This window comes from Homo sapiens, chromosome 5 (genome assembly GCF_000001405.40).
Source record: "Homo sapiens chromosome 5, GRCh38.p14 Primary Assembly".
In the NCBI taxonomy this organism is placed as follows: domain Eukaryota; kingdom Metazoa; phylum Chordata; class Mammalia; order Primates; family Hominidae; genus Homo; species Homo sapiens.
The window spans coordinates 76,910,350-76,937,423 of NC_000005.10; the positions used below are offsets into that span (position 1 = coordinate 76,910,350).

Here is a 27,074-nt window from a genome sequence, read left to right on the forward strand (position 1 = left end):
ACCTGGCAACCTTGGTGTTCTATAATAGGGACCAAGAGGAAGAGGCCCAAAAGGAAAAGTGAGATCAGAGAAAGGCCGCAGCCTTAGTCATGGCCCTCACACAAACAAACCTTCATGGTTCAGAGAGGACAGAAAACAGAGCAGGCCAATCACCCGGGATGGCTTGTTATCAGTGTGGTTTACAAGGACATTTTAAAAAAGATTGTCCAACGAGAAACAAGCTGCCCCCTCGTTCATGTCCACTATGCTGAGGCAATCACTGGAAGGTGCACTGCCCCAGAGGACAAAGGTTCTCTGGGTCAGAAGCTGCCAACCAGATGATCCAGCAACAGGACTGAGGGTGCCTGGGGCAAGCGCCAGCTCATGTCATCACCCTCACTGAGCCCTGGGGACATTTAATCATTGAGGGCCAGGAAATTGACTTCCTCCTGGACACTGGCGCGGCCTTCTCAGTGTTAATCTCCTGTCTTGGATGACTGTCCTCAAGGTCCGTTACCATCCGAGGAATCCTGGGACAGCCTGTAACCAGTTGTTTCTCCCACCTCCTCAGTTGTAATTGGGAGACTTTGCTCTTTTCACATGCCTTTCTTGTTATGCCTGAAAGTCCCACACCCTTATTAGGGAGGGATATATTAGCCAAGGCTGGAACTATTGTCTACATGAATATGAGGAACAAGTTACCCATTTGTTGTCCTCTACTTGAGGAGGGAATCAACCCTGAAGTCTGGGCATTGGAAGGACAATTTGGAAGGTCAAAAAATGGCCACCCAGTCCAAATCAGGCTAAAAGATCCCACCACTTTTCCTTATCAAAGGCAATATCCCTTAAGGCCTGAAGCTCATAAAGGATTACAGGATATTGTTAAACATTTAAAAGCTCAAGGCTTAGTAAGGAAATGCAACAGTCCCTGCAACACCCCAATTCTAGGAGTACAAAAACCGAACGGTCAGTGGAGACTAGTGGAAGATCTTAGACTCATCAAAAAGGCAGTAATTCCTCTATATCCAGTTGTACCCAACCCCTATAGCCTGCTCTCCCAAACACCAGAGGAAGCAGAATGGTTCACTGTTCTGGACCTCAAGGATGCCTTCTTCTGTATTCCCCTGCACTCTGACTCCCAGTTTCTCTTTGCCTTTGAGGATCCCACAGACCACACATCTCAACTTATGTGGACCGTCTTGCCCCAAGGGTTTAGGGATAGCCCTCACCTGTTTGGTCAGGCACTGGTCCAAGATCTAGGCCATTTCTCAAGTCCAGGCACTCTGGTCCTTCAGTATGTGGATAATTTACTTTTGGCTACCAGTTCTGAAGCCTCATGCCAGCAGACTACTCTAGATCTCTTGAACTTTCTAGCTAATCAAGGGTACAAGGTGCCTAGATCGAAGGCCCAGCTTTGCCTATAGCAGGTCAAATATCTAGGCCTGATCTTAGCCAGAGGTACCAGGGCCCTCAGCAAGGAACAAATACAGCCTATACTGGCTTATCCTCACCCTAAGACATTAAAACAGTTGCGGGGGTTCCTTGGAATCACCGGCTTTTGCTGACTATGGATCCCTGGATACAGAGGGATAGCCAGGCCCCTGTATACTTCTCTTTATACATCACAGAGAGTGCAGGGCTAGCTCTTGGAGTCCTTACTCAGACTCGTGGGACAACCCCACAACCAGTGGCATACCTAAGTAAGGAAATTGATGTAGTAGCAAAAGGCTGGCCTCACTGTTTAAGGGTAGTTGCGGCGTTGGCTTAGTGTCAGAGGCTATCAAAATAATACAAGGAAAGGATCTCACTGTTTGGACTACTCATGATGTAAATGGCATACTAGGTGCCAAAGGAAGTTTATGGGTATCAGACATCCGCCTACTTAGATACCAGGTGCTACTCCTTGAGGGACCGGTGCTTCAAATACATATGTGCATGGCCTCAACCCTGCCACTTTTCTCCCAGAGGATGGGGACCCAATCGAGGATGATCACCAACAAATTATAGTCCAGACTTATGCCACCCGAGATGATCTCTTAGAAGTCCCCTTAGCTAATCCTGACCTTAACCTATATACCAATGGAAGTTCATTTGTGGAGAGTGGGATATGAAGGGCAGGTTATGTCATAGTTAATGATGTAACCGTACTTGAAAGTAAGCCTCTTCCCCCAGGGACAAGGGCCCAGTTAGCAGAACTAGTGGTGCTTACCTGAGCCTTAGAACTGGGAAAGAGGAAAAAAAAATAAATGTGTATACGGATAGCAAATGTGCTTATCTAATCCTACATGCCCATGCTGTAATATGGGAAGAAAGAGAGTTACCTCTGGGGGGAACCCCCATAAAATACGACAAGGAAATCATGGAGTGATTGCACTCAGTGCAAATACTCAAGGAGGTGGCAGTCTTACACTGCCAAAGCCATCAAAAAGGGGAAGGAGAAGGGAGAACAGCAGCATAAGTGGCTGGCAGAGGCAAGGAAAGACCAGCAGAAAGAAAAGAGAGAAAGAGACAGAAAGAGAGAGAGAGAGGAAGAGACAGACACAAAGAAGGAGTCAGAGAGAGAGAGAGAGAGGAGAAGAGACAGAGACAAATAGGGAGTCAGAGAGACAGAGAGAGTCAGAGAGAGGAAGAGACAGACAAAAAGGGAGTCAGAAGGAGACAAAGAAGAAGTCAAAGAGAAGAAAGAGAGATGGAAGTAGTAAAGAAAAAACGTATACCCTATTCCTTTAAAAGCCAAGGTAACTTTAGAACCTATAATTGATAATTGAAGGTCTTCTCTGTAACCCTATAACACTCCAATACCACCTTGTTGTCAGTGTAAACAAGGGCGTAGCCTGAAAGCACTGAGGCCACTGACAACCCATAGCCTTCCTATCAAAAATCCTTAACCCAGCAGGTTTCCTAACAGGGGATCTAAATCTTAACTAATTACCATACAAAGGTCCGATCAGACCAAGGAGGAACTCCCTTCAGGACAGGAAGATAGATGTTTCCTCCCAGGCGATTAAGGGAAAAAGACACAATGGATATTCAGTAAGTGATAAAGAAACTCTTGTAAAATCAGAGTTAGGAAAATTGCCTAATGATATGTCTGCTCAAACCTGCGAGCTGTTTGCACTCAGACAAACAGAATCAGGAAGGAGCCATCTTATAGAATCAGGAAGGAATTATCTATACCAATTCTAAGTTAATATGGACTGAACAAGGTTTTATTAACAGCAAAGAAAAAATCCCAAACTTACAAGATTTTCAACTAAAGTTTGCTAAAAGTTAACAGTGTAACATGTATTATCCTACTACCACACACTCTCAAAGGATTTCTCAGACAGTTTGCAAGAGATAACAAAATCTATCCTTACTCTACAATCCCAAATAGACTCTTCGGCGGCAGTGACTCTCCAAAACCGCAGAGGCGTAGACCTCCTCACTGCTGAGAAAGGAGATCTCTGCACCGTCTTAGGGGAAGAGTGCTGTTTTTATACTAACCAGTTAGGGATAGTACGAGATGCTGCCCGGCATTTACAGGAAAAGGCTTCTGAAATCAGACAACACCTTTCAAGCTCTTATACCAACTTCTGGAGTTGGGCAACATGGCTTCTCCCCTTTCTAGGTCCCATGGCAGCCATCTTGCTGTTACTCACCTTTGGGCCCTATATTTTTAACCTTTTTGTCAAATTTGTTTCCTCTGGAATCAAGGCCATCAAGCCACAGATGGTCTTACAAGTGGAACACCAAATGAGTTCAACCAACAACTTCTACCGAGGACCCCTGGACTGACCTGCTGGCCCTTCCACTGGCCTAAAGAGTTCCCCTCTGGAGGACATTACAACTGCAGGGCTCCTTCTTTGCCCTTATCCAGCAGGAAGTAGCTAAAGCGGTCATCGGCCAAATTCCCAACAGCAGTTGGGGCATCCTGTTTAGAGGGGGGATTGAGAGGTGAAGCCGGCTGGGCTTCTGGGCTGGGTGGGGACTTGGAGAATTTTCTGTCTAGCTAAAGGATTGTAAATGCACCAATCAGAGCTCTGTGTCTAGCTAAAAGGTTTGTAAACACACCAATCAGCACTCTGTAAAATGGACCAATCAGCTCTCTGTAAAATGGACCAATCAGCAGGATGTGGGTGGGGCCAAATAAGGGAATAAAAGCTGGCCACCCAAGTCAGCAGTGGCAACCCGCTCAGGTCCCCTTCCATGCTGTGGAAGCTTTGTTCTTTCACTCTTCGCAATAAATCTTGCTGCTGCTCACTCTTTGGGTCCGCACTAACTTCATGAGTTGTCACACTTACCGTGAAGGTCTGCAGCTTCACTCCTGAAGCCACTGAGACCATGGACCCACCAGGAGGAAAAAGCAACTCCAGACGTGCCACCTTTAAGAGCTGTAACACTCACCGCGAAGGTCTGCAGCTTCACTCCTGAAGCCAGCGAGACCACAAACCCACTGGAAGGAACAAACAACTCCTGACGCACCACCTTTAAGAGCTGTAACCCTCACAGTGAAGGTCTGAAGCTTCACTCCTGAAGTCAGCGAGACCACGAACCCACCAGAAGGAAGAAACTCCGGATACATCTGAACATCTGAAGGAACAAACTCCGGACCATCTTTAAGAACTGTAACACTCACCGCAAGGGTCTGTGGCTTTGTTCTTGAAGTCAGCAAGACCAAGAATCCACTGGAAGGAATCAATTCCGGACACATAAGGCCGGGCACGGTGGCTCACGCCTGCAATCCCAGCACTTTGGGAGGTCGAGGCAGGTGGATCACGAGGTTAGGAGATCAAGACCATCCTGGCTAACACAGTGAAACCCCGTCTCTACTGAAAATACAAAAACATTAGCCGAGCATGGTGGCAGTCACCTGTAGTCCCAGCTACTCGGGAGGCTGAGGCAGGAGAATGCGTAAACCTGGGAGGCGGAGCTTGCAGTGAGCTGAGATTGTGCCACTGTACTCCAGCCTGGGTGACAGAGTGAGACTCCATCTCAAAAAAAAAAAAAAAAATGCTGGGCGTGATGGCTCACACCTGTAATCCCAGCACTTTGGGAGGCCGAGGCGGGCAGACCACCAGGTCAGGAGATCAAGACCATCCTGGCCAACATGGTGAAACCCCCTCTCCACTAAAAAAAATACAAAAAAAATTAGCCAGGCATGGGGGTGAGCGTCTGTAGTCCTGGCTACTCCGGAGGCTAAGGCAGGAGAATGGCGTGAACCCGGGAGGTGGAGCTTGCAATGAGCCGAGATCACACCACTGCACTCCAGCCTGGGCAACAGAGCGAGACTCCGTCTCAAAGAAAATAAATAAATAAAAAATAAAAATAAATAAATAAATAAAAAAGATAAAGTGGTAGGCTTAAGCCCAAACATATCAATAGTTACATTAAATGTAAATGGTTTAACTATAAAAATTAAAATACAGTAACTAGCATAATGGATTAAAAACATGCCCTAATTATATGTTCTCTACAAGAAACTCACATCAAATACAATAACGTATGTTGAAAGTAAAAGGACAAAAAATTACACAAGCATTAATTTAAAATGTTATGTTAACATTAGATAAGTGGACTTCAGAGCAAACAAAATTACCTAACCCTAGCACTTTCGGAGGCCAAGGCAGGCAGATCATGAGGTTAGGATCAAGACCAGTCAGGCCAACATGGTGAAACCTCGTCTCTACTAAAAATACAAAAATTAGCTGGGCGTGGAGGTACACACTTGTAATCCCAGCTACCTGGGAGGCTGAGGCAGGAGAATCGCTTGAACCCAGGAGGTGGAGGTTGCAGTGAGCCGAGATTGTGCCACTGCACTCCAGCCTGGGAGACAGAGTGAGACTCCATCTCAAAAAAAAAAAAAAAAAAATTACCAGAGATGGTGAAGTACATTACTAATAATAAAAGTATAAATCTACCACAAAGGCATAGCAATCCTAATTATATATGTACCAAATAACAGAACTACAAAATATGTAAAGCAAAAACTGATAGTATTGAAAAGAGAAACAGACAAATCCACAATTACAATTGAAGACTGCAACATCCTTCTCTCAACAATTGATAGAAAAGCTAGACAGAAAATCAGCAAGGACATAGAAGAAATAACATGACCATCAATTAACAGGATTGAACTGACTTTTGTGAAACACTCAACAACAGGCCACACATTATTTTCATGTGCCCACAGTACATATACCAAGACAGACCATGTCCTAGGCCAAAAAAAAAAAAAAAAACCTTGAAAAATTAATACCCATTGAAATCCTAAGAGTGTGTTTTCTGACTACAGTGGAAACAAACTAGAAACCAATAACAGAAAGATAACATGAAAATTTTTAAACACTTGCAAACTAAACACACTTGTAAATAATACTTGGGTCAAAAAGAGGGTCTTAAGGAAAATTAAAAACACATTCAACTAAATAAAAATGTAAAGACGATATATCAAAATTTGTAAGATACTGCTAAAGAAGTCTTGAGAGGCAAAGTTATAGCATGAAATCCCTGCATTAGAAAAGAGGATATTTCAAGGCTGGGAGCAGTGGCTCACATCTTTAATCCCAATACTTTGTGAGGCCAAGGCAGGTGGATCATGTGAGGTTAGGAGTTCGAGACCAGCCTGGCCAACATAGTTAAACCCCATCTCTACTAAAAATACAAAAAGGAGCTGGATATGGTGGCAGGTGACTGCAGTCCCAGCTACTTGGGAGGCTGAGGCAGGAGAATGGCTTGAACCCAGGAGGCGGAGGTTGCAGTGAGCTGAGATTGCACCACTGCCCTCCAGCCTAGGTGACAGAGTGAGACTGTCTCAAAAAAAAAAAAAAAAAAAAAGGATATTTCAAAAAGTTGTATGAAAAGAAGAAAAAAGGAAGGTCTCAAGTCTGTATTTCTCATAACTACATGTGAATCTATAATTGTTTCAAAATAAGTTTATAATTATGTATTAACATACATATTTCAATCATTTAATAGAGCTTCAAAACATAAAATGTGAGATTTCCAGTTTGACTTTTTTGTAGCATGCTTCCATATACTATTCATAGATAGTCACAATAATTCTGAATGACAGGCCTTGTTGGTATTACTGACATTGCTAGGCTGCCTAGGTGTGAGGTGGTACTTACACAGTTTCATGATCACACACAAGTTTAAGAATGTCAGAAAAGAGACTGAAGTAGCCATTCAGCTATATGGTTTTCCAGAGGGAAAGCTTGGGTCAAAAATCAGAAATTGGCCTGGCACAGTGGTTCACACCTCTAATCCCAGCACTTTTGGGAAGTGGTTGGATCACTTGAGGCCAGGGGTTCGAGACCAGCCTGGCCAACATGGCGAAACCCCATCTCTATTGAAAACACAAAAATTAGCTGGATGTAGTGGCACATGCCTGTAATCCCAGCTACAAGGGAGGCTGAGGCACAAGAATCACTTGAACCCAGAAAGTGGAGGTTGCAGTAAACCGAGATAACACCACTGTACTCCAGCCTGGGTGACCGAGCAAGACTGTCTCAAAAAAAAAAAAAAAAATCAGAAATTGAATACCAAGGTCAAAATTGGTATTGAACCTCAATGCCCAATATTTTTATGTCAAAGTGCCAGTTTCCTGTAGGTGGACGTCTAGTTGGTTTCTTGCTTTTTGCTCTTACAAATAGTTCTACAATGACAATCTTTAAATATATATCTGTGTAGTCTTTAGGGTATCTATCTGTAGGTTAATTCCTACAATTGGACTTGTGGTCAAAGGTATACGTATTTAAAATTTTGATTGATAACGTCAATTTTCTATCTAAAAACCTTATACCAATTTGTACCTCCATACCTCTATGCACGTGTTGTTTTTCCACACATTTACTAACATTAGATATTATCCAACTTTATTTTTTGTCGTTAGAATAGGGTTTTTACTTTGTTTTTGAGACAGAATCTGGCTCTGTCACCCAGGCTTGAGTGCAGTGGTACAATCTCAGCTCGCTGCAACTTCTGCCTCCCGGGCTCAAGTGATCCTCCCACCTCAGCCTTCTGAGTAGCTGAGACTACAGGTGCGTGCCACTATGCCTGGCTAACATTTGCATTATTTGTAGAGACAGGGTTTTGCCATGTTGTTCATGCTGGTCTCAAACTCCTGAGCTCAAGCAGTCCTCCCGTCTTGGCCTCCCAAAGTGCTGGGATTACAGGAGTGAGCTACTGTGCCCAGTAGAATAAGGGTTTTAATTTGCTTTTGAAAAAATAGACTTTAGAGTAGTTTTAGGTTCATGTAAAGTTTAGTGGATACACAGAGTGCTCCCATGTTATACCTGCCTCCAGATGTGCACCGACTTCCCCATTATCAACATCTCCCACCACAGTGGTATATTTGTTACAATAGAACCTACGTTGACACATCATTATTACCCAGTGTCTGTAGTTTACACTAGGTTTCATTCTTAGTGTTGTACATTCTATGGGTTTTGACAAATGCATAGTGACACGTATCCACTGTTACAGTATGATACACAATACCTTCACTGCCCTAAAAATCCTCTGTACTCTATCTATTCAACATTCCCTCCCACTTGTCCCTGGCAATCACCAATCCCTTTACTCTTTCCATTGTTTTGTCTTTTTCATAATGTCATATAATTGGAGTTATATGGTACCTAGCCTTTTCAGATTGCCTTCTCTCACTTAATACACATTTAAGTTTTCTTCGTGGCTTTTCATGGCTTGATAGCTTATTTTTTTGAAAGCTGATGAATATTCCATTGTCTGGATATTCCACAGTTCATTTATCTAATTACCCACTGAAGAACATATTGCTTGCTTCCAAGGTTTGCCAATTATGAATAAAGTTGCTATAAACAGTCATGTGCAGGTTTTATGTGGATATAAGTTTTTAACTCATTTAGGTAAATATCAAGGGACACAACTACTGGATTGGATAGTAAGAGCATGTTCAGTTTTGTGAGAAACCACCAAATTGTCTTCCAAAGTGGCAGTGCCATTTTGCATTGCCACCAGCAATGAATGAGAGCCCCTGTTGCTCCACATCCATGGCAGCATTTGGTGTTATCAGTGTTTTGGATTTTGGCCATTCTAATAAGTATGCAGCTGTATCTCACTATTGTTTTAATTTGCAATTTCCTAATGACATATTTTGTGGAGGATCTTTTTATATACTTGCCATCTTTGTATCTTCTTTGGTGAGGTATCTGTTCAGGTCTTCTCTTCTTCTCCCTTCCTCCCTCCCTCCCTCCCTCCCTCCCTTCCTTCCTTCCTTTCTCTCTCTCTCTCTTTCTCTCTCCCTCTCTTTCTTTTTCTCTTCCTTTTTTTTTTTTTAAAGAGATGCAGGTCTCATTTTGTCACCCAGGCTGTAGGGTAGTGATCATATTTCACTGCTGCCTCAAATTCCTGGGTTCAAGCAATCCTCCCACCTCAGCCTCCCGAGTAGCTGGGACTACAAGTGCATGCCACCATACTGGCTAAAATTCTTTTTTTGTAGAGATGAGATCTCATCATCCTTCCCAGGCTGGTCTTAAACTCCTGGGCTCAAGTGATCCTTCTGCCTCAGCTTCCCACAGTGCTGGGATTACAGGTGTGAACCACCATGCCCAGCTTTCATTTTTTTTTTTTTTTTTTTGAGACAGAGCCTCACTCTGTAGCCCAGGCTGGAGTGCAGTGGTCCAATCTTGGCTCACTGCAACCTCCGCCTCCCGAGTTCAAGCAGTTCCCCCTGCCTCAGCTTCCCAAGTAGCTGGGATTACAGGTGCCCACCACCATGCCTGGCTAATTTTTGTATTTTTAGTAGAGATGGGGTTTCACCATGTTGGCCAGACTGGTCTCGAACTCCTGACCTCAGTTTATCTGCTCCCTTGGCCTCCCAAAATGCTGGGATTACAGGCATGAGCCACCACGCCCGGCTCAGCCTTCATTTTTTAAATTGGGTGGTTTGTTTTCTTATTGTTGAGTTTAAAAGTTCTTTGCATATTTTGGATAAGTCCTTTACCAGGTGTGATTTGCCATTTAAAATTCATGAAATGTGTTGGAGTAACTTTTTTATATGTTTACTGGCCATTTATGGCTCTTTTTTGTGAAGTGCACATTTTCTTGCAATTGGCATTAGCTGAATCCACTGCTAAGACTTCTCCCCACTTGGGCTTTCATGCATAGCATAATGGTATACACAATGCTTCGTCGGAATTTACCTGACTTAGAAAGAACATGCCTGCCCACCTTCCACAAGAAGCTGTACATCTGACTGTAATGGAGCGCTCCTCACTCTCCTCAATGCAGAGCAGAAATAGTCACAGCAGAGTGGTAGATAAACTTATAGTAAATGTGTCCAATTTAAATGTTACCATCATCAGCAGGAAACATACTACACAGCCATTGGCTGGATTTCAAGTGACTGTGTGGGTCTTTGATTTCAGGAAGTTCGTGAATGCTAATCAAGGGCTAAATAAAGTGGAAAGCAGCATCCTTGAAAATCATCGCTCTCAGGACGGGGTCTGCCTGGAATAGCACTGAATGTGTTTAGTAGTGCCTTTGGCTTGGGGGCTTTGGAGAAAGCTGCTTGAGCCCTTCCCATGCTCATAAATTAGGTAAGGAGCAGTGAGGAAGTGTCTACAGCAACCTCAGCCAATGTGATGTGCCTCTACAGCTGTATGAAGTAGATTCTCTGATTTTATCTTGAAATCCACAACTTCCACAAAAAAGAAAAATCTTTTACCATTTCTCATTAAAAAAGTAATATAAGTTTATTGTAGGGGGAAATAATCAAATGTAATCTCATTACCCAGATATAATCACTGTTAACTTCTTCATTCGAATTTTCCCTAGGTCCATGTATCTATATATCTATGGTTCATAAAAATGAGATTACACCAAAAAATATCTTTTGTTATCTATATAGTTCCAGCTTAATAAATATACAACTGTATTATTATTTTTGTCTGAATAGTATTTTCATTGATATATCACAATATATTTACTCCAATTCCCTATTGCATATAGATTATTTCTAATTTTTCTATTAATAATACTAAGGGAGCTTTTAAGTCAATACATCTGAATCTTGAATAAAATTCTTGTTCCTTCTCTTTGGATGGGTATTCAGACTCTTAATTTTACAAATGAAGAAATAAAGTCCCAGAAGGTAACAGAGATAGAACTAGGCACGATTTTCTATTCTTCTTTCCTTCCTTTCTTTGTGAGAGTTAACGATTATTTAAAAGTATTCATAATTTTCTGATAATAAAAGTAAGACATGGCATTATGACACTGGATATTCAAAAACCACGATGTCCTTTTACTTGAAGATTTTAAAAGGAAATGATTACAATAAATACCCAGAGTCAACAATTATCAAGTTTCTGTCATATTTGCTTCATCTATCTCTTTCCTTTGAAAGCGAATCCTAGGCCGGGTGCAGTGGCTAACGCCTGTAATCCTAGCACTTTGGGAGGTCGAGGTGGGCGGATCACTTGAGGTCAGGAGTTAGAAACCAGCTTGGCCATCATGGTGAAACCCCAACTCTACTAAAAATACAAAAAATTAGCTGGGCATGGCGGTGCACGCCTGTATTCCCAGCTACTTGGGAGGCTGAGGCGGGAGAATTGTTTGAACTCAGGAGGCAGAGGTTGCAGTGAGCTGAGATCATGCCACCGCACTCCAGCCTGGGCAACAGAGTGAGAGACTGTCTCAAAAAAAAAAAAAAAGAAAAAAGAAAGCAAATCCTAGGTACCATTTCATTTTATCCCTACATGTTCAGATATGCTGTTAGGGCTCAAAAGTGATACCCCAAAGACTGTGCTTTGACATGCTGAGAGGCCTTAGAAGCTGCCTCAGAATCAAGGTTCCCCTAACCTTGTCTTGTCTCCACCCCCTCCCAAGCATAGGGAGAGACTCTCTCTGGAATTTCCTTGTCTAACCAAGAAAGCTTTTTTCCAAAAGAAATGCAATTTTTCTTAGGATCCCCTCCCTAGGGGGTCTCAGCAAATAACCAGGAAAGATCACTCACCAGAGAAGAGAAGATGTTGGAAGTCATCACCATGCCCAGACAGACTTTTCTTCTATTCTTCTGAAGGAAGCTTCAAGAGATTACCTGGGAAACTTAATCTGCAAAATAAGATGACCTTTGTTCCTGTGCAGTTCTGCCCATCACCTTCCCATAATGTCTCCCTCCCACCTCCCAGGTTCATACATCTCTTCCCATAAAGAGAGTTTTTTTGTTGTTGTTTGTTTGTTTGTTTGTTTTTGAGATAGAGTCTTGCTCCGTTGCCCAAGCTGAAGTGCAGTGGCACGATCGGCTGACTGCAAGCTCCGCCTCCTGGGTTCATGCCATTCTCCTGCCTCAGCCTCCCGAGTAGCTGGGACTACAGGCACCCGCTACCACGCCCGGCTAATTTTTTGTATTTTTAGTAGAGATGGGGTTTCACCGTGTCAGCCAGGATGGTCTTGATCTCCTGACCTCGTGATCTGCCCGCCTCGGCCTCCCAAAGTGCTGGGATTACTGGCATGAGCCACCATGCCTAGCCAAAGAGAGTATTTAAGCAACCATCTAGCCCCTCTTAGAATTCACATTTTGTATGAATCCCATGCACATATATGCATCTTAATAAAATTTGTATGCCTTTTTTCCCAATAATCTGCCTTTTGTCAGCTGAGTTTTAGCAAGCCTTCAGAAGACAAAGGGGAAGTTTTCCCTTTGCCCCTACAATGCCTATGTAAAAAAAAAAAAAATGGGCTTCTAAAAAAACACAATACCATATCACACCTAATAATTTAATAATTCCGTGACATCATCTAATATGCAGTTCAAAATGAAATTTCCATGACTATCTCAAAACATCTCTTTTTACATTGGGTTTGTTTGAATCAGGAACAAAACAAGGCCCACAGATTACATTTGGTTCTTAAGGCTCCTAAATCTATATCAATCCTCAGCAGTCTTTTGTAATTTCCCCCCATGCCTATGTTGTAGAAACCAGGTAGCCCTGTGGAAAGCTTCATATTCTGGATTTGCCCATTTATTCCCATGTTATTTAATTGTTTCCTCTATCACCTATATCTCCATCAGTGAAGGTAGCTCTAGAGCCTGGATTAGAGTCAAGTTGGACTCCTGTTAAGAGTATTTCACAGGTGGTGCTGTGCAGTCAGTATTGCATTAGGAGCTATCTAATGCCTAGTTGCCCACTTTTAGAGTATAGTGGGCCCAGTGCTATGCCACCCCAATGGGGGAGGGCAGGCTAGAGGGGTGGGAGGGCAATACCAAGACAAATGCAAGATACCCTCCCACCCACGATGGTTCCTCTTCCACCTCCAACTACACCCTCATGGGTGTAGAATCAGATTTTGCTTTGAGATGGGAGAGGTTTCCTCATTCAGCCCAATCCACAACACCACCATAGCTCCATCATGGGCAAACCGTTTTTATAGACTTGCTAATTAATGTCTGTGGACCGGCAGCATTAGCATAGCCTGCACCTGAAAGCTTGTTGGAAATGCAGAAACTCTTACCCTATAATTACCAAATTAAAAATTGGATTTGTTGGGGCTCAAAGAAATGACACTCCAAAATATGGCACTTTGACATGCTGAACTAGAGAAGCAGCCACAAGGCCTCTCTGCCCTCCTTCCCCACCCCCCAATTCTCTGTGTCTCCCAAAGCATAGGATGAGGCTGTTCTCCGAAGATCCCTGATCTATCTAGAAACTGGGTCCACCAAAGAGAAACACAATTGCCTTTGATCCTCTCCCCTAAAATATCGCTAAGCAGAAAAGATTAAAACTCATATCTCAGAGGAAGAGATGATAATTAAACACCACACTTGGAGCCCAGACACTGTTCTCTGGTCCTGTTTGATTCCCAAAGAGAATTATTTGCTAGCCATGAACTGAACATTGGGCCCATTCATTACCCCTAAAAATCATTTACTATATAAATTGCCACATTTCCCTGCTCTTTCCTCCCCTGTGAAGAAAAGTATATAAGCATCTAGACCTCACTGGGTTTTTAGGTAATCATCCTCCTGGGATTCCCTTGTGCTTATGTGTGTTAAATAAATGTATATGCCTTTTTCTCCTATTAATCTTCCTATTCATTCTCTGTTCACTTTCAGCAAAGCTTCAGAGGGTGAAGAAGAGCTTTCCCTTGGCTCCTACACGTTCTAACAAGATTCTCCCTGTGATTAGCATGCCCTTTAAAATTTGAGAACCCCTGGTCCTCAGGACCCCGGAGAAGTTAGGTCTGGATTAGAGGAATAAGGGCAGTAGTATTAGTTCCCTGCTTCTGTATAACAAATTACCCTAAAACTTAATAGCTTAACAAAGATACATTTATGGGCCGGGTGTGGTGGCTCAAGCCTGTAATGTCAGCACTTTGGGAGGCAAGGGCAGGCGGATCACTTGAGCCCAGGAGTTTGAGACCAGCTTGGCCAACATGGTGAAACCCCATCTCTACTAAAAATACAAAAATTAGCCGGGCATGGTGGCAGGCACCTGTAATCCCAGCTACCACTCTGGAGGCTGAGGTAGGAGAATCGCTTGAACGCGGGAGGTGGAGATTGCGGTGAGCCAAGATGGCGCCACGGCACTCCAGCCTGGGCAACAGAGCGAGACTCTGTCTCAAAAAAAAAAAAAAGATACATTTATGATCTCACATATTTTCAGAGTCAGAAAGCAGGAGTGGCTTGGCTGGTGAGTTCTGGCTCATGGGACTCTTACAAGGTTGCTGTTGGGTTGTCGAGCTATTGGCCAGAGGAACCACTTCCAAGCTTACTCATGTTGTTGGCAGAATGCTTCAGTTTCTTGCCACAAGGTCCGATCCCTAGGACTGCTTATGATATGAGGGTCCCCAAAGATGAGTGGCTAGATAGAGAGAGAGAGAGGAAGGGAGAGAGAAGTCACAGTGTTTTTTTAATAGCCTAATCTCAGAAGTGACATGCCATCACTTCTAACACGTTCTATTGGTCGTACACACTAACCTAGCACTCTATGGGAGGGGAGTATGCGGGGGTGTGAACGCCAAGAGGCAGGGATGCTTGGGGACCATTTCATAGGCTCACTACCACTGCAGTAACCATAACCGGGGCTTCGCCTTGTGAAGAGGATGGGAAACTTCCTCCTGGAAACAGAGTAGGTCTCACACTCAGTCCTCTACTCCAGGAGAAACAGGGTTCACCTGCCTGGCTCTTATCTCTCTGTCCTCCTGAGTCTATAGACTCTCATTTCTGTTGCAATTGCATGATTTGTTCTAACGCTCTCAATTCCCACAAGCACTTTTTTTTTTTAAAGTTACAGATTTTCGCTTGAGTAACTTCTTTAGATAATCTATGCTGCTTGCTATAGGAAGAACTTAGTGGCTGACAGTAAGAAATCACTTAATATAAACGTATGTAAAGCCAGGCGTGGTGGCTCATGCCTGTGATCCCAACACTTTAAGAGGCTGAGGGGGGCGGATCACTTGAGGTGAGGAGTTTAGGACTACCCTGGCTAACATGGTGAAACCCCATCTCTACTAAAAATACAAATTTTAGCAGGGTGTGGTGGCGTGCACCTGTAGTCCCACCTACTCAGGAGGCTGAGGCAGGAGAATTGCTTGAACCCAGGAGGTGCAGGTGGCAGTGAGCCAAGATTGTGTCAATGCATTCCAGCCTGGGTGACAGAGTGAGACTCCATCTTAAGAAACAAAATAAAACAAAGATACATAAAAATATAAGGGCACATAGTTTCAAAGGTTGGTAAACAAGTCATTCAGTGTGTGTCATTGTGGCATCTGGGCTACAAAGGACAGCTGGGAGGTAAAATTACTGGGCAGAGCAGAGGATGGTTTAGATACAGGATAGTGGAGAAGCTTGTTTTTTTTTCTGAGGAATGATGATTAGAATTCACCCAGGAGTATACTCTGGCCTAACTGCAGATATTAAGGCGATAGAATTGTCCAATCTGGTGAGTGATGAACTTAGAGTTGGTGATTAGTAGCCGTGAGGGTTGGGGCAGTGTGATGCTGTAGTCCTACCTGCCAAATGGAGCTGATAATACTCCAGGAAGATGTACTTTTATGTTTGTTTCACCAATAAGGAAATACAAAAACAAGTTCAGTTTTCCACAACATTCAGGTAATGGGCTTTGAGGAAAAAAAAGATGAAAGTGGCAGTTCAGTGTGGGAGCTGGGAGGGCTGTGGAAGTGGGTGGGGCTAAAACAGAGCCCTCCCTGGACTGGCTGCTCCTCAGGATCTGCTGTGAAATTTGCAAGAAAGTCCTATAGAGCCTGGTTAGGAGCTGTGGAACAGGGGAGGGAGCTCCAGAGAAAACGAAGCATAAAGCTTAAGGCCCAGACCTGAGAGAAAGGCTAAATGCCCAAGACAGGAAAAGAACCAAGCAGGTTTTAGAACAACAGAAAGATGAGAAAGCAAAGAGGGGATCTGGAGAAAGAACAGGCTCGTGAAGCCCAGATTAAAATTCTCTTCTCAGGAATTGACAGTTTCCAGCTTGCGGCAGTAGAATCAGCTTTGCAAAATAGAAAGGAAAAGATTCCCCCTGAAGAGTTGCAAACCATCTGATTCATGATTTATTGCCTTAGAAACGTCTGTATAAACACAAGGATTAGGTATTGTCTCCCCCAGCTTCCTGTCTTCAATTTCCTTCTTTTTCATCTGGATGTTTTGTTATGAACTCTTTATCTCTTAAGACAATGTCTTTAACATTCAATGGTTAGGGCAATTCCCAATTCAGTCTGTGATTCTTTCGCCTGTGCATGATTGTAAGATGTTCCTGCTACTTCCTTCTTACGCTAATAGTAGTAACATAAGACATCAAAACTCAAAGCAAAGACACTGACCCACAAAAAGTGAAGCGTGGAAATAATTGTTGTTCAGGGAGGCCCTAAAACAAGTCAGGTTTGAATACCTCAGGTCCTTTCTGTGCTCTGGGGGAGAGGGATTCTAAAGCCCAATTGCCTCACACTGACCTATGCTTTGATGCCCTCAGCATCTGGCCCTACCTCTCCACCTTCAACTCATACCATGTTCCCCCAAGCTCCAGTCCACTGGCCCCTTTTTGAGGTTCCAGGTGTCAGTGGAAGATGCCAAGTTGTGCTCTCCCTCTGCCCCAGATCCTCACATAGCTGGTCCTTCATCTTTCTCACCTCCATTCAGATGTTCCAAGTCTCAAAATATCAAGCTGACCCATTTTCTTGGCATTTAAATCCCTTCCTGGTAACTGATTAGGCTTCCACCACTACTCAGCCACAACCGGTCTGGGTTGCAAAAATCAGTCACCTCAATGGCTGGGAGAAGTTAAAGACCCTTCCAATAGTGGCTTAGGCCCCTGAGGAAAGCTGTCAGGAAATTTTAAAAGAAAACTCAAAGGGCATTTTGATGAAAGAAGAAATAAGGAATTAAATTTCAGCTTATGAACAACAGTTGTAGAAAGAGGAGAGTTAGGAAGGTGAAGACTAACATTCATTTAGGTCCAGCCTCATTCCCATGTTTTACCCATGTTATGACATGGAAACTTCTCAACAAGCCTACAGGGAAAGGTTAGTATCCTCATTTCGTAGATAAGGAAACCAAGGCTCTGGTTGAGCAAATTTCCCAGGATCCTGCAGCAAATACATGGAAAAGCCAGGTTCAAGCTGAAGCCCAGCTGACTCTAAGCCCATCTGTGTGTGTGCTGTTCCCTGTCCACAGGCCTAGACTCTGCTCTGAGGACGTGGGGGTTTGGGTGGGGCATGTGCTGGCATTACACAGGTATTGAAAGACACATGGGCAAGAATACTTCCCATGCCCTCACCATCTATATGGATTTCACGTATCCTTTAGGAGCACCCGAGTCAGTACTGCCTCCTTTGTTTTGAAACAAAGGGTCTAGTTCACTGTCATTTTTACACAATGGAGACCTTTATAAATTACAGCTTTTTGGTCCTCCACTTGCAAGGGAAACAAGGACCATAACAGGGCCATCAATAATCTCCCCAACGCAGAGGACCTGAACATATAAGCTGCAAAAAGATGTCTGAAATTTTATAATTTGTTTGCTTCCTGAATAATCTTTTACTTGGTAGAATCAATTGTAAGTGCCACTGTGCTTGTGGCTTCACAGACATTTTGAAAATTAGATAATGCACCTTTAGGATGGGAGTGAGAAGCCTTTGTCCCTCATGGCATATTTTATATAATAAAAAAGGCTTGTATGGAGCAGGGGTGAGCTGGGAAGGTGAAGCTACTTAAGCTGCTGCTTTCTTTCTGCATTATGGTACAGAAAGTAGCAAAATATCAAAGCCACACAGATTCCATCTTCCCTTAAAATGACAGAAGATTAGTTGAAGACAGAAGCAGCTCAGGCTCAGTAAAAAACAGAAGGTCTTTTCATATCCAGATGGGACTCTTTAATCCTATGAAAATTCCCAGTGTCACTTACTGGGGTAGAAGTTGACTATTTGGCTGTCTCTTTTTGTTTTTATTTTCGTTTTAGAGATTGGGTCTCACTCTGTCGCCCAAGCTGGAGTGCAGCGCACAATCACGGCACATTACAGCCTCAAACTCCTGGGCTCAAGCAATTCCCCCACCTCAGCCTCCTGAGCAGCTGGGACTGCAGAGGTGTGCCACCATGCCCAGCTAATTTTTAAACATTTTTCGTAGAGACAAGGTCTCACTATGTTGCCTAGGCTGGTCTCGAACTCCGGGGCTCTCAAGTGTTCCTCCACCCTAGGCCTCCCAAAGTGCTGGGATTATAGGCGTGAGCCTCTGTGCCTGGCTATTTGGCTGTCTCTTGAGTTACCTTCAGTATTAGAATCTGAGCCACAGTAGGAGAAACCTAATAGTCAACCTTAATGATGGATGTGGCAGAGAGAAAATTACAGCTCCTCGCTGGACAATGCACCCAACACATGGAAAAACATAGGAAGAGGTTTGGTCTTTGAGTTATATAATCAGCCTGGATTTTTACATGGCAGAGAGAAGGGTGAAGGTAGATGCATATTGTACCTTTTTTGTTTTCTGAAAAAAGTTTGCAAATGAGGCTTTGATTTGTATATGTCCACTTCATCTGGGAACTCCATTACTAATTCAGGGAAAGAGTTGCTGGACCAATTGAACAATTTGTCTCTCAGATATATGCAGGAAAATGAAATATCCTATTAGTTAACAGAAAATTGTCCTGATACATGCAGTAAAAGGGAATTAAAAGCATTGTTTCCAAATTGATTGTGCCAGACAAATTTGGCCAAATATAAGTGCATGACAATATCCTCTTATGGTCTTGCACTTTGCTTTACAGTTATTCCAATAGAACTCAGTATTTTGGGTCTGTACACCAAGAGGTGACATGAGATGGAAGCTGGGGTCATTATGGTTAACCTGAATGTGTCAGAAACCAAGCAGAGGCTGAATGTTATTATATGCAGCCTGTGAATCAGAGTGAATGGTAGAACCAGGCTAAACTATACATTGCAAAACAGGTGCAATGTTTGGATGGAATGGTCACCAACAGTATCCAAATAACCAATAGCTGGTTGATGGGTGTTATTTACCATACCAAAAACCCAACCTGCAGGGACACATTGTTCAATTGATCTGAGATCCCAACCCACTTCCACAAAAGGAAAGAGGCTCAATTAATAGGAGCTAACAGAAACAGGTAAAAGGAAAGCAGACAGGCATGTGCACAAGAGATTTGTAGACCTTCATGTGAAGAGGAGAATGTTAATAAAAACTTCTTGTGCATCAGCATCCTAAAATTCTACTGTTGCAGCTGCTGGTCTGATTTTCCTACAACATGGGGAGGTGTTTGCAGTGAAGATATCTTCTATTCCCACAAAGAGTAGTTTTTCATCTTTAAATCTTTAAAACAAAGAAATCTGAAAGCTAGAAAACAGCCAGGGATTTCCAAATTCAGTGTTTCCTAAATTCGTCTGTGCTACAGAATTATCTGTGATGCGTGTTAGACAGAGATTCTCAGACTCTGACAGCATCTCCAGAGAAATAGCTGGGATCGCTCTACTGAGCAAGCTCCCTGCTTATGCTCAGGCGTGGGCAGGTCTGGCAACATGATGATTGCACATCCAAATTGTACCAAAAAGAAAAACAGGTGCACAGAAATGATACACCCAAGGTCCCTAGGAACACAATAGAACCAGGACTGAACTTAGGTCTCAAGCACATAAAAATCCAATCTTATTTAATTTCCATGGTAAGGAGGCACACATCTCACAGTGTGGGTTTCAGGACCACAAAGCCTAAGGTTTGGTTGCTTAGGGCAGTAGGTGATTGGACCAAACCCTTCTATTCAATCCTCAGCAAGAAGTTCTGCAGCTCGATACCTTAGAAAAGATGCAATCACTCGACTCTGAAAATTCCCTGTTAGCTTGTCAGCTGGGGCTGCTTTAATTTTACTTTTAGGTCATAATTCTATTTAATACCACTGAGCTCTGTTCTATTGATCACTGGGCTTGACTCAGCACTGATGTTTTTGAGGAATTGACCATTATGTCTGAAGTGTAGGGTAAAGCGGGTATCCAAGGAGAAGAAGAGTGTTTGAGGCCCTATGATTTCCTGGAATATTACCCATCTGGGAAATTGTGTAGGAGTCCATTGGAGGAGATATTTTAAAACTCCAGCTTGGCAGAGGTTTTGTGGAAATGGACACCTAAATCAATTCGAGAGCAGCCTATGAGAGCTAGAATGGGGTCGGCAAAGTTAACAGCTTTTTTGCCTGAAGGAGTGGGGGCAGTGGGGTATGGAACAGGTATTCTTGCTGGCTTGTAGGTGGGTGAGCAGGGAGAAAGAGCTCTAGTCTCTCTTTTTCCTTTTCTTTCTTCCTTTTTTTTTTTCTTTTTTGAGACAGGGTCTCACTCGGTCGTCGAGGGTTGGAGTGCAGTGGCACAATCACAGCTCACTGCTACCTCCACTTCCCTGGGCTCAGGTGACCCTTCCGCCTCAGCCTCCCGAGTAGCTGGGACTTATGGAGGTGTGTCACCACACCTGGCTAATTTTTTAAAAAACTTTTTTGTAGAGACAGGGTTTCACTATGTTGCCCAGGCTTGTCTTGAACTCCTGAGCTCAAGCAATCAACCCACTTCAGCCTCCCGAAGTGTTGGGATTACAGTCTCCAGCCACCATGACTGGCTCCTCTTTCTCTTCTTATTTGAGGACAATAATCTCATCATGAGGTCCCCACACTCATGACCTCATCTAAACCTAATTACCTTCCAAAGGTCCCATCTCCAAACACTATCACATGGAGGATTAGGGCTCCAGCCTGTGAATTAGTGGGGAGGGGCACAGACATTCAGTCCATAATAGGAGGTGTCCTTACCTTCAGCCCCGTAGCGTGGTTGAACCTTGGTGGGGATGGAGAAGTGCTATAGAAAAGACCAGATGGATAGCGAATCTGAGAACATTAAGGTTGCATTAGGAGGCCACTGACTGTGGGAGTCTAATACCCAGAAGTAAGCTGCAATCTTAAGAACAAGATGAGATCACTTACAGGAAAGAAAGAACATTTGGGTTTTTTTTATTCTTCTTTTTTTTTGTGCACACATAAGTCTCAGTGTGTAAAATTTGACACCAGGATGTCCATATATACACATTCACACACACATAGGAGAGACAGAGGAACATAGTAGGGGTAATATCCATAATGGTAGTTATCTCTGGATGGTAAAATTATGTTATTTTATCTTTTTTCATTGACCACTAGTGCGGATTTTTCTAACATGGATTATTATTTATATATATAATTTATAACAAAAACTTCCCAATATATCTTTTCATAAGATGTCAGTTATTTTCAAAGGTCACTTGTGTTGTGTCTGCATCTTTCAAAATCATAGGTTGTAAACTCAAGCATTTAAATTCTTTTTTTTCTCCCCAGTGAAAAGATAGGAGATTTGTTGCTGTTGTTTGTCTGGTTTTTGCGCAGGACTGACAAGTTATTTTGATGTCTTATAGGCACAACCTAAGTAATATAATTTGGTTAAGTTGGAAAATAAGCATTTTGCAGAGCTTTCTCCTAGGCTTTCAACAGCACAAGATTTTTATGCCCTTCTCACGATGAGACCGAAGTGAAGACTTTTTTTCTTTTTGAGACAGGGTCTCTCACTCTGTTGCCCAGGCTGGAGTGCGGTGGTGTGATCTCAGCTCACTGCAATCTCAGCCTCCCAGGTTCAAGCAATTCTCCTGCCTCAGCCTCCCAAGTAGCAAGGATTACAGGCACCCGTTACCACGCCCAGCTTATTTTTGTTTTTCTAGCAGAGATGGGGTTTCATCATGTTGGCCAGGCTGGTCTCGAACTCTTGGCCTCAAGTGATCCGCCCGCCTTGGCCTCCCAAAGTGCTGGGATTACAGGTGTGATCCACCGTGCCTGGCTGTGAAGACCATTTTTGAAACTCCAGTTAGGGAGATGTCTCCCACTGTGTGGCCGACCCCTTCCCATCCACAGATGAATGACTTAGTCATTACCTTTTACAAAGAAAATTCATTTATTTTTTCATCAACGCTTTAAAAATAAAAACAAAATAAAGCTAGACATTTTTTTCTGATGGGATTTGGGAAGAAAGATTAAAAAAGTGTAAGAAAAGCCTTTAATGACTCTGTAATATTTAACACCTAAACAAAGCGGCTTAGTACCAGTGGGAGCTGAAACTCATTAAAATGAAAATTATATTTGCTTCATCAATGCTAAAATAAATCCAAGGGAAAACAAAGAGGTACTTTTGTAATTAAATTTAACTTACTGTCATAATCTCAATTCTCGCTATTTGCAACTGTGGGAGTTATTCTCAAAAGGATGTTTAAGGATAAAGTTTTAGAGTCCACAGTATTCCAAGTTTGGGATAAAATTGAGATGATTCAAAGGAGAGAGAAAGAGGAAGGGGTGTCAGGTGGTGGGGGATTGAGAGCTTCAGAGAAGCCAGGCGGAGTGCCCGGATGAGGCTTCCCATCTCCTGTTCTCTACTGTGTTGCTGGGTGGAGTTCTCGCCTCCCTCAAGGGATAGCATGGAAAGAAAAACGTTGTTCCAGTGGTGTCTCCTCTGTCAGTACAGTGGAACAGGGAAGAATCCTGTGGAGTGAGACGGCCTCTTCGAGAGGATTTCTAGAATTGGGACCCAGCGGGTGGAGGAATCACCTCAAACAGTGTGAATGTTCCCTAGAGAGCTGAGCAGTCTCTGACCTGGTCGACATAACCACTCACCTGCTCAGAACGGCCCGTGATATGCTGCTGAATACCAGAAGGAGCTGTCGCCTGTTACTGGGTGGTAGCTACCTACCATCCCCGGAGCATTTGTTACATGTCAGGCCCTGTACTAAGTAAACACTTTTCATATACTATCTCACTCAATATTCACAACAACCTTAGGGTACAGGAATTATTGTTCCTATTTTTTAAGAATACAACTTGAAAATTTATTCTCATTTCTTCATGGCCACACCTTTCATTTGATTGTGGTGAGATATACATAACAAAATTTTACCAAAATTTTAAGTGTACAATTCAGTATTAAGTATATTCACAATGCTGTGGGACAATCACCACCACCCATTTCCAGAACTTTTTCACCATCCCAAACAAAAACTTTGTACCCATTAAACAAAAACTTCCTATTCCTTCTTCCCCCAACCACCTGGTAGCCACTAGTCTACTTTGTCTCTATGAATTTGCCTGTTACAGATACTGCATATAAGTGGAATCATGTATTTCTGGCTTATTTCATTTAGCATAGTGTTTTCAAGTTTCATCCATGTTGTAGTATCCCATTATATAGGCTAGGAAACTGAGACTTATACTAAATAACTTGCCCAGGACCACAGAAGAATTAGTGACAGAGGAAGAATTCATATCCAGGGATGTCACACTCCAAGGTCCATGCTCTTAATCATCCTCTACCAAGTGTTTCTCCCAATGCAGACCACAGACCACTAAATCAGAATGACCATGAGTGCTTAAAAAACACAGATTTCTGGGCTCCACCCTACTAAGATAATCCTTCTAAACGATAATCCTTGTACTTTTAACACATTCCCCAGTTGATTCTTATGCAAAACTAAAGTTTGTGAATTACTTCATTCTTCTCTATTGAAAATGCAACTAAGGAAAGATGGCGGCAGAGAAAATGAAGACATAGTTACAAACTCAAGGCCAAGTGATCTCATGGAAAAGGAGAAATGAGTAGGCAAGTGCTATGGTTTGACTAATAGTGTCCCCTCCAAAATTCATGTTGAAGCCTAATCCCCAATGCAACAGTATTAAGAGGTGTGGCCCTTGGGAGGTGACTAAATCATGCAGGCTCCACCCTCATAAATGGGATTAGCACCCTTATAAAAGGGCAGAAGGTGGAAGGGAGCATTCTCTTGTTCTTTTGTCTCTTCCACCATGTGAGGACACAGTGTTCCTCTCCTTCAGAGGAGGCAGCAATGGGAACCATCATGGAAGCAGAGAGCAGCCCTCACCTGACACTGAATCTGCTGGTGTCTTGATCTTGGACTTCCCAGACTTCAGAACAGTGAGAATTTAAATTTCTATTGTTTATAAATTACCCAGTGTGTGGTATTTTGTTATAGCAACACAGACTAAGACAATAAGCTCTAGGAGTTGTCAAATGCCTATATATTTTGTTGGGGTCTCCTGGAGGGATTTCCAACGCATCCACCCTATTTGCCCTTTGTGGCCCCATGAGTCATCCTTTCATGAAGTGAAAAGATACATCTCTTATAGTCATGCCATATTTTTCATTCCAAGTTTTACGGTTTATGTCAATATGTATTATGTATGAAAAACAAACTAGCTTTTTGTCAAATGCTGCCAAAATGTAGCATCTCAATGTCTGGCATAAGAAAAGAAAGACACAAATGGTGATTGTGATGCTGGCAAACCAATGCACAACGTAGCCAAAATACATGTCATATTTAATGTGGGACTAAAAACTCACCTTCAGGAAGACTTTCACCTTGAAATCTGGTGATGTGTGGAACAGATGTTTTAATTTAGCTAAAATTATTTGCATAATCGATTTAACACATGGTTTATCAAACCTGCCAAAGAGCAGGTGACAATATGGAATTAATATGATTACTAATTTGACACATCATTGAGATTAATTTGACCTTTCTCGATCTCAGAATACCTAGAGGTCTTCACAGACAGGAATAGTGTGCTATGAAATGCAGTCTAAAATCCACCATCTTAGCATCATAAAGTAAGCAACCACTTTGCTCAGTCTGGCCTCATGTTTCTATTCCTTTTCTTTCCATCTCTTCTCTAAATGGAAAGGAAGGCAATGAGTGAATATTGGGGAACATATCTGATTCACAGTGTTCAAAATTTTATGAAAAGTAATTGATCTAACGTGCCTCTGATACTAGATGTGGTACTGCCTTCTCCCTGGTCTGTTGATTTATCCTTGAATCTAGACTCAAAGGATATCACCTTTGAGAATTAATTGGCTTAAGCCTTTAGCTTTAAGTCTAAAGACTCAAAATAATGACTTTTTTTTTTTTTTGCGATGGAGTTTCACTCTTGTCACCAGTTGTCACCCAGGCTGAAGTGCAATGGCATGATCTCGGCTCACTGCCACCTCCACGTCCTGGGTTCAAGCAATTTTCCTGCCTCAGCCTCCCAAGTAGCTGGGAATACAGGTGCACACCACCACACCGGGCTAATTTTTGTATTTTTAGTAGAGATGGGGTTTCACCATGTTGGCCAGGATGGTCTTGAACTCCTGATCTCAGGTGATCTGCCCACCTCGGCGTCCCCAAGTACTGGGATTACAGGCGTGAGCCACCGTGCCCGGCCAAAATAATGACTTTTAAATTGTATATCAGTTTGATTACAATAGTAAATTATTCTATTAGAAATAATAGAAATGTTTATTAATAGGGAATTGATAAAATAAAATAATATCGTATGCGAGTAAAATGCTGTGTGCCCATTTAAATGATGTGGAAAAAGTATATTTAATGATATAAAAACATGTTTGTGATATGTGACATGAAGAAATCATATTGCATCTCTGAAAAATAACAATAAAAACGAGAAATCATATTGCAAATTAGTATGTGCACTATAAGCTTATTTTTATAAGAAAAATTATGTACATATCTAAAAGGATAAATATCAAAACGTTAACCATGGTTATATCTACATGGTAGGATTAAGGCTGATTTATGGTTTTTCTTTTTTATTTATATTTTAAACAATTTTTTAAAACCATGAACATACAATTTTTTGGTGTAATAGAGAAAAAAGTCAATCAAAAAAATATTTGTGAAGTGAGGATGGCAGATTGAATCAGCATCCAATTTTACTCTCTCCCAAAACTCCATTAAAGTTCCTACACACACACACACACACACACACACACACACACACACACAACCATGAAGGAAACAACAGCAAGAATGTTTTGGAAGCTGGAAACATTTTGGAAACTGGTTTGGTAGGCTCGCAAAAGCCTAACCTCAAGGCTGCAGTAGGTAAATGAACCAAGCTGCTTTAGGCTGCAGAATCCTGCCTAGGATTGCCACTGGGGATGGAGATGGGAAGAGGGAAGAGGCAAGGGCACTGAAAGAAGGAGCACTGGGAAAGGTTGTCTGAGAAGCTGCGAGATCTCAAGAGACGGTCTCTCCTTCGTCATTCCTCAGCCCTTGAGCCCCTCATCCTTCACCCAACAGGAGTATGGAAGCTTATTCTCTGTATTATGGACACTAGACACAGTTGGAAGTCTGATCGTCATACGCAAAACAGAAAGAATAAGTGATCTTATGCTCAGCAAATCCCGGCTGCAGAGCCCTCCCTGACCTTTCCACTCAGGTCCAGGACACCAACAGCCAGACTCTGACCCTTCCAGATAAGATATTGGAAATGGCTTCTTCATAAAGGCTAAATTTATGCTTGCCCCTCAAGATTGCAAAATTAAGCAACATATCACTTAAGGACACATATGTAGGTGATATAACCAAAAGAAAAAAAAAAGCAGGGGAATGAATACTCTTGCCCTATGTAATGAGGAGGAAGGGGTTGCACCTGGGGTAATACCTTGGTAATGTTTGATTTTTTTTTTAAAGAACTAGAGTGATAGGAATATAGATAGTATAATAATACATTTTATTATTCTTATTTAAATTTTAGATGTGCATTTTA

General features: G+C 42.5%; 1 protein-coding gene across 8 annotated transcripts in view, besides 1 other annotated feature; it reads left to right on the forward strand.

Moving 5' to 3' along the window:
- The window catches only part of S100Z (S100 calcium binding protein Z), a 102,940-nt gene that overhangs the window by 60,336 nt on the left and 15,530 nt on the right, over positions 1 to 27,074 (forward strand). For 5 of the 8 annotated variants that reach the window (NM_130772.4, NM_001437780.1, XM_017009171.2 and 2 more), the window contains one exon: positions 10,368 to 11,301. The exons of 1 other annotated variant lie outside the window; for it this stretch is intronic. The gene's annotated coding sequence lies outside the window, so the exon portion shown is untranslated. Of the gene's footprint in view, positions 1 to 10,367; positions 11,302 to 24,338; positions 25,984 to 27,074 lie in introns of those variants that run through there. 2 more of the 8 variants (NM_001437779.1, NM_001437783.1) reach the window with 1 other exon arrangement.
- Positions 15,326 to 15,499: a silencer, noted in NCBI's record as "fragment chr5:76221500-76221673 (GRCh37/hg19 assembly coordinates)". NCBI's record gives its function as "represses an EF-1alpha promoter that drives an FKBP-Casp9 reporter gene in an ReSE screen in phorbol 12-myristate 13-acetate-treated (for megakaryocytic differentiation) K562 erythroleukemia cells {active_cell/tissue: K562(+PMA)}" and the evidence as "EXISTENCE:reporter gene assay evidence [ECO:0000049][PMID:32094911]".